General features: G+C 37.7%; 1 annotated feature.

Moving 5' to 3' along the window:
- Nucleotides 2741-3319: an enhancer, noted in NCBI's record as "OCT4-NANOG hESC enhancer chr5:56937789-56938367 (GRCh37/hg19 assembly coordinates)". NCBI's record gives its function as "activates a minimal SCP1, AML or CMV promoter by ChIP-STARR-seq in naive and primed H9 embryonic stem cells {active_cell/tissue: H9 hESC(naive and primed)}" and the evidence as "EXISTENCE:reporter gene assay evidence [ECO:0000049][PMID:30033119]".

The raw sequence follows: 8815 nt of genomic DNA, 5'->3' as shown, positions 1-8815 counted from the left end.
ATCAAGAAGTCTATTTCATTTACAATAGCTATAAAACAATAAAATACCCAGGAATACATTTAACCCAGAAGGTGAGAGATCTTTACAAAGAGAACTACAAAACACTGTTAAAAGAAATTGTAGATGACATAAGCAAATGGAAAACATCCCATGCTCATGGATTGGAAAAGCCAACATCATTGAAAAAACAACAACAACAAAAAAACAAAAACAAAAAACTATATTGCCAAAAGCAATCTACAGATTCAATATTATTTCTATTGAATTACCAATGTCATTTTTCACAGAATTACTAAAAACAATCCTGAAATTCATACTGAATTAGAAAGGAGCCTTAAAAGCCAAACCAATTTTAAGCAAAAAGAGCAAAGCTGGAGCCATCGCATTACCCAACTTCTAATTATACTACAACGCTATGGTAACCCAAACAGCCTGGAACTGGTATAACAATAGACACATAGATTAATGGAACAGAATAGAGAACCCAGAAATAAAGTCATATATCTACAACCAACTGAGCTTCGACAAAATTGACAAAAATATATAATGCAGAAAGGATACTTTATTCAATAAATGGTGCTGGGAAAATTTCAAAGCCATATGCAGAAGAAATAAACTGGACTCCTACTTATCACCACATACAAAAATTAACTCAGGATGGATTAAAGACTCAATGTAAGAACTGAAACCATAAAAATCCTAGAAGAAAACCTAGGAAAAACTCTTATGGACATTGGCTTAGACAAATAATTTATGACTAAGACCTCAAAAGCAAGTGCAACAAAACCAATAATAAACAAATGAGATTTAATTGAACCAAAAAGCTTCACCACAGCAAAAGAAATAATCAACAGAGTAAGCAGACAACCTACAGAAAGGAAGAAAGTGCTTGCAAACAATGCATCCAACAAAGGACTAATACCCAGAATCAAGGAGTGCAAACAGCTCAACAGGAAAACAACAACAAAAAAAACCCATTAAATATTGGGCAAAGGACATGAACAGACATTCTACAAAAGAAGACATACAAGTGGCCAAAAAACATGTCAAAGAATGCTCAACACCACTAATCATCGGATAAATGCAAATTAAAACCACAGTGAGATACCCTCTTACACCAGGCAGAATGGCCATTATGAAAGTCACAAAACAAGAAATGTTGATGACGATGCAGAGAAAAGGGAAGACTTATACACTGTTGGTGGAATATCATCAATGTACATCATGTAATTTACATCAATATAAATTAATACAACCTCTATGGAAAACAGTATGGAGATTTCTCGAAGAATTAAAAATAGAACTACCATTTGACAGCGCAATCCCATTACTGGGTATATATACAAAAGTAAAAAACATTGTTCTACCAGAAAGATAGATAGACTTGTATGTTTATTACAGCACTATTCACAGTAGCAAGGTCATTGAATCAACCTAAATGTCCACCCATGGATTATTAGATACAGAAAATGTTGTGTTATATGTAGCATGAAATGCTACTCATCCATAAAAAAGAAGGAAACAACAACATAGATGAAACTGGAGGCCATTGTCTTAAGCGATATAACTCAGACGCAGAAAGTCAAATGTCATGTGTTCTCACTGATAAACAGAAGCTAAATAATGTACACACATGGACAGAGTGAAATAATAGATACTGGAGACTTGAAAAAGCAGGAGGGTGGGAGAAACACAAGGGATGAGAAATTAACTGCTGGGTACAATTTACACTATTTGGGTGATCGTAACACTAAAAGCCCAGGCTTCACCACTACACAGTGTATCCATGTAAGAAAACTGTACTTGTACCTCCTAAATCTATCAAAATTAGAAAAAACTTTCAAAACTAAAAGTTCTTAGTTTCCCCCTTTCTCATGGGTCTTTCCTCTTTGTGCAGTGTTCTTCCTCCTTTTAATCAATTACTTTCCCCACTTTTTTCATTGTTATTTGTTTCAGTACTTCTGTTGTTCCAGTCTTTATCCAAAGAAGTAGGAAAATAAGCAAACGTTAGGAAGAAACTCAGAGTTCATTAAATTCACTGGTTAGTCTAAAAACAGTAAAACCAAGGCCAAAAAGGAATCACCTTAAGTCACAAAATCAGTGAGTATCAAAGTAAAGATGAAAGGACAAGTCTCCTGACTTCCAATATATTGCTACCTCCGTTTCAAAAAAATGATTTTCTTCCTTTTTATTGGTTCTCTTAAGAAAGAAAAACAAAAACCTTGAAAACTTTTGAGATCTTTCCAAATAAGATCTAATCAATACCACATATAGGTACACATTTGAGTGCTACATGTTAGGTTGGTGCAAAAGTTATTGCGGTTTTTGCTATTAAAAGTAATGGTAAAAACCGCAATTACTTTTGCACCAACCTAATACTTCCCAAACTCTCTCCTCTGCTCTCTTCTCCTTTCTCTTTCTCTTTTTAAATTCTCTCATTTCCTCCATTATGCCCTGTCCTCTTTGCTAAGTAGCCATAACTGTTTTTGTGTTTCCTGCATCTTTTGTTTCATAAGGTACCTAAGTTCAGATGACATATGCCATTGCAGGAAAATATTTTACCTTGATCTCTACACTTTCCCAAAAGGACCTAGGGGAGCTAGAGTGATAAACAGCCCTATGTTAAAGGGCTGGCCATGTGCAGCATACAGAAGGCAGATAAATTTACTTCCAAAACCCTTTGGACCACTTCTTTTTACAGATAACCGCCTCAGTTACAGCAGCTTCTGGCACCATCTTGCCATCCTCTTACTCTCCTCCAAAAATGACCTGTCCAAATCCCAACCCCTGATGCATACACTTTCTTCTATTGGCCCGTAAAATGTCATGATTAATCAAATGGTTTGAACATACAGTTCATCCAGCACACACTGGGAAGATTCCCATCAACCGCTTTGCTTCAGGTTCATTCCTGCAAGGGGATGAGATGCAGCAGCAGTCAGCTTTCACTTGTACAACCCACATAGCAAGCCTACCCATTGTGAGCCAAGGTTAGCCTTTGTTATTCCCAACAGCTTGTCAGCAGGGAGGCTCCTGATTTGAGGTGACCTGAGGGCAAGGCAATGAGGGCCGGCAAGACTATGGTAAATGATAAAAGGGCCTGGGCCACCTGCTCGTGCAGCTCATTATGTCCTTTCTTCCTGGTTATCCCTATCCTGGAGGTACAAAGTCTACCTCACAGTAGGTTCTGCTGGGCCTGCCTGAACTTACAACATGGTCTGTTAGAACTCAGCTCATGATGGGCAGTTTGGGCCACATTGTCACTGAATGTCCCATGCTCCTTCTCTACAAGGTCCCCATGGCATGTCCAGAAGCTGTATTTCCAATAAGTGACTGCCTGGTGCAAATGACATGGTCCTGTTCTGGAATCACAGGATCTATATTGCACTTCTTCCCCTGGGGCTTCCATAATCCCCAGGCATCTCTGTCACCAAAGACATCTCTAACTCAAGAGGTTCTGCAGTGTATAAGGTCAATAAGGCAGTGCTGCTGGAACCACATGCTGCACCTGCTGCCAAGCACTGTTCTTCTATAAGTACTACTCAAATCCACTCCCAAAAATGGAATACATTGACTCCAGAACCCAAGGAAGCCTATCAAGTATTGTGCCTCCTTCTTAGTGTAGGAGACATGAAATGTGATTTTTTAAAATTATTATTTTGATTTTGAAGGGGATGTCTTGTCAGAAAACCCCCATTACCCCTTGAAAACTAGAACACCACAAAGAAGGTAGGGTACAGGAGGCACAGCCAAAGCAATGACTTCCTGCCTGAAAGTATCTGGGCACACATGCTTGTGATCAAATTATTCAAACACAGAAAAAATCTGCCCTAGAAGATCTCAAATTTTTATCCCTACTATTCAGCATCTGCAAACACACTTTGAAACCAATCTGTAGTCCATTAAAGGAAGCCTGCACACTATCTCTCCTCCACCCCATAATTCCATTATGGCCATGGAATTGCCCTGGACTCTTACACAAGCTGAGTAGGACTAGGAAGTAGCATGATGTGGGAGCACCATACTCTGAAATACCGAACACTTAAAATATCAAATTCTAGACTGCCTGCACCTCCTACCTCAATACACCTTCCCTCCATACCACCCCCATCATGAAACCAGAGTTGGGAGACAAAGGCTGAGGAAGGAAAAATGGAATACTTTGTGAGTTAGAACAGTGTTTAATATTTTAACAATTTCCGGTTGCATGGGGTTGAAGAGAAAAAAAGAACTAACTTAAGCTGCTAGGTGTTTGGGACCTGCCTGAGAATTTGACATATGATTTGTGTACTCTATTTTGGAAGCTACTTTAAAGAGAGGAATACCTTTATCCAGGCTGGGATTTCACATGATACCATATATGAAGAACTCAGGAATGTGCCCTTATCATCAGTGGTTAAAGAAGGAAGAGAAGAAGGATGATGGAGAAGAGGAGTTCAGAGACATAATATTTAATTTCCTACCTCTTCTTTGGGTACCTTGCTTATGTAAGAAGGTATATCCCAGTCTGACAGCTAAAACCAGAAATAGCCTTTCCTTCACCACCTGTTGATGGTTGCCAAGCTGCTGAGGAAATACATACTCTTGCATATTATACAAATTCGGCAGTCCTCAGGTCCCTCTAGTCAAGTTAGCATCAAACCTTTCTTCTCTGTCATCCAGCTGTTCTTGATGAAAAGACTTGTAATTTTGAAGTGGTAGGAAGGGGACACCCCTCTCATATCAGTCTACCCCCATGCTTCCCTCTCCAGGCACCAAGGCTCAACCCTTAACTCCCACTTACTGCTGACTTCATTGTTGCCAAGTTAGATGAAAGAAAAAGGAAAGGAGGATAAGCCCCATTCTGACACCACTTTAAGGTCTTTCTGCCTCTCTCATCCAAACACAGAAAGGAAAGAAGGGAGAAAGGAAGGAGGCGCATGGAAGTTGGGGGCAGAGGAAGGAAGAGAAGAAAAACTTCACCTTTCCTTTTATCCCGAAATTGGCTCCTCACCCCCTCAGGCTTCTTCACAGCCAGTCTTGCTCCTTTTCTCATCACAAAGCTGTTATTCCAGCATTTCCTCCCTAAGTTCCTGCCCCTTTCCTCCCAGAGCCAGACTTTTCCTGAAGCATCTGCTCTTTCAAAACTGCAACCCTTTCTAACAGTAAATTTGAGCTGGGGAAGTCCAAACTTCTCAGCTCTAATGAAAGGTAGGAAGAAGATCCTGCAAATGGAGAGGGGATACTACTTCAAATGCTGTTCTGTGTGATGATAGAGTGTTATGGAAACATGAGAACCAATTCCCAGCTATGTCATAGCTAAAATCATTTGTGGGGACAGTAATGGTGGTGGACTGTGAACCATGCAATGATGGTAATCACCATGCACAGTGTCCTGCTTTGGCCAAATGTGCTCTAAGCTCCAAAGTAATATGTGCACCAAATGTAAAATGCAACAGAACATAGTAACACCACAAGGATTATAATAAAACCACTGGTCTCCAGCTCTATTCCTTTCTACCTTGACTCAAGCCCAGGAAGCACTTTCAGCTGCTTTAACTTCTTTCTTTAGTATAATAATTACTTCCATATTAATAATGACTATGATGTTGCTGAATTTGTCAATTTAGACATTATCTTTTGACTTCTCACTTTAGAAGATAAGCATTTGATAGTTTTCCTCTCCCCATCCCATCTCAGACATAGACATATACACATTCTCTCTGTGTCTTTTCAATATAATGTTATCACAGGTTTGTTATTGTTGAAGCCATCTTCAGTTTATACATTATATACAAATGCATATATTTATAGGTAATAATACCTAAATATTATTAATATCTGAGCCTAGTAGTGTAGAATGACTATATTTCCTTTCTTGTACAATTGCCTTTTTTCTGAAGTTATTAATTGCCTCATATTTTTGTTGTTATTGACTTGCTTTTCTGTATATCTATCATTATAATATCCCCAAATTCTCTGCCAAAAATATGATTCTTTTCAGTATATTCAGACATGTCAGACATTCTATGAGTTTCTTCTTTTACTTGGAGAGACATTCTTTCTGGAAACTTCTATCCTGCTTCTTCAATCTGGAACAGTTGCTCTCTAGACTTGCTGCACAGCTGCCATTCAAAACTTCTCTCCACCAACATCCTGGAGACTTTCTTAGCCTCTTTATTGTACTGCATACTCCTTGCTTAGATAAAAAATTTCTGTCTTTGTTTATTCAGCTGTTTTGGTGGAGTATATGCTCAAATAGCTTTCTGAGAAAGGGTACATTGGAGGCACATTTCTTAAGGCTTTGCATATGTAAAAATGAATTTATTTTAACCTTTATACTTGATTGATAGATTGGTTAGATGTAGTGTCCTATCTGGAATAAGACTAGAAAACATTTTCCCTCTAAATTTTAAAGGCATTTTTCCATTGGCGTTTTGTTTCCAGCATTGCCATAAAGAGGTCAATACCGTTATTCATTGTCCTTGGTGTGTGATCTATTCCCCGTTTCTATTTTATCAAAAATATTTTACTTCTCTTTTCCTCCAATTCCCTGAAATGATATGCTGTATTGTAAATTACTTTTTATTCATTGGTCTAAGTATACCATAAGACCTTTTTGATATAAAGGCTCATATTTATCTGCTCTTCTAAATTAACTTAATTATTTCTTTAAAAGTTTGGGTTTTTTCTTCACATTTTTAAAAATTCTAATTCATTAGATGATAGACAATCAGGATTTATCTAATATTCTGACCATTTCTCTATTTGTTCTCCCTTCTGGGAAACATTTTCAAATTTACCTATCAACACTTCTACTGAATTGTTTGAGCCATGTGTTAGTGAGTTCTTGAGATGCTATAAAGGAAAACCTTAGACTGGGTAAATTATAAACAAAAAATGTTTAATTGGCTCATGGTTCACAGACGGCAACAGCATCTACTGGGTTTCTGAGACCACAGGGAGCTTTTACTTGTGGCAGAAGGTGAAGTGGGAGCAGGCATGTCACATGGCAAAAACAGGAGCAAGAGAGAAGAAGGAAGATGCTACACACTTTTAAACAACCAGATCTTGCAAGAATTCACTCACTGCATGACACTATTGCAGGGACAGCACCAAGTGGATAGTGCTAAACCATTCATGAGAAATCCAACCCCATGATCCAAAAACCTCCCACTGGGGTCGACCTCCGCCACTGGAGATTATAATTCAACATGAGATTTAGAGGAGACAACATTCAAAGTATATCAAGCCACTATTTTTTTTTAATTTAAAAGTGTTCTTTTCTATTCCTGAATATTCCTTTTTATAGCCTACTGTTCCTGTTCCATAGATGCAATATCTTTGCTTATCTCTTGGATATTAATTGAAAAATTAAGTGTTTTTTCTTCTGTTCTATGTTTCCTTCTTTTTAAATTTGTTTTGATTCGTTTGCTTTGTACTTTGACATGCATATTCGAGATGTTCCTCTACTACCTAATATTCTTGGCTGTTCATTCATATTTAAGCTGTAAGTCTTTAAGGACTAATACTCATACCTTGCCCAGCTCCCCTGAAATGTCTTTTTACTGATTTTGGGGGGTGGGTGGTTTCCTGTGTGAAGGGTGAAGCTACCTTGTGTGGAACTTTGTCTGAGATTACACCCTTGCTTGGCTTCCTCAGCTTCCTCGGCCTTCTTTCCCAACTTCCTTACTTGTCTCCCATAAGAATACTTCCTTCTTAAACTGCTTGCATACAAGCTCTTGTCCCAAAATCTGCTTCAAGGGGAACCCATCTCATGACAAACTTCAATACTCGTTGGCCAGTCTCTGTACATAGCACCAACATAGTAGATGTTCAATCTATATTTGATAAATGAATGTTTTGCAATAAAATTTAAGAAATGGAAGGCCATTTCATTGAAGTTAATAAATTTTCTCTTTTATATAGATATTTGATGTTGATACAGCAAACACATGAAAAATGTTTGCCAGAGAACTTCAAAGTTATATGCTTCTGAAGAGGAGGATGTGGAAAAACTGTCAAAACCTAGTTGGTTATTGCATGAAAATCAGAGTAATAAATGTTGTCAAAAATTGGCAGACAGAAAAATTCTAAAGTATCTGAATATAACTGAATAGAACATCAGAAAGCTAAAATTAGTTTCCCCTTAATAAATGTCATAACATTGAGCATTCCCATATATTAAATTTTCTGTTACATAAATTTGAAATTTCTGGGAAATTTTTAAAAACACACCATCGTGGGTTCTCTGAATAAATGCATATATACACACACCACCCAGCACATTCACATTCTCTTCAGAATTAAGCAAAACACCATAGAAAAAAAAAATACTTGAGAGTTTACAGAAGCAATTTACAGTTGATTTAAATAGGCTGTCAATAAGTACCCAAAACTTATATGGGTCAATTCTAGCATTTTAGAAAAACGGCTGATCATCCTTAGCCCTGGCTTGAGAGATACCAATTGGAGGGTATGACCAAATGGATCAGAAAGAGCCAAAATAAGTTTTAGATGTACTTTGGAAAAGGTGTAAAAAACAGCATGTTGGTTTTGTTCAAATTTACAGAACGGACTCTAACCATCTAATAAATGGCTTCTATACAAGTAGATGGAAAATAAAATGCCTATACTCCAAAGACAACCACTAAGGAGTGAAGATCAGGGAAGTAGAAGTTATGATTTCTGATTTTTCTGGTGGGTCTGAGAGGGCCAAGGCCTTTGCCATGACTACCAGTGCCTGCAGGATCCCTTATTATGCAATGCAAACTAGAAGAGCTCCTATAATCAGGGCAAAGCTGTGCCCCTTTTTTGATTGGGAATGTAATGTAAT

This window comes from Homo sapiens, chromosome 5 (genome assembly GCF_000001405.40).
Source record: "Homo sapiens chromosome 5, GRCh38.p14 Primary Assembly".
Taxonomy (NCBI): Eukaryota; Metazoa; Chordata; class Mammalia; order Primates; family Hominidae; genus Homo; species Homo sapiens.
The sequence above is the reverse complement of the archived record's forward strand: the minus strand, read 5'-3'. Positions and strand labels throughout refer to the sequence as shown.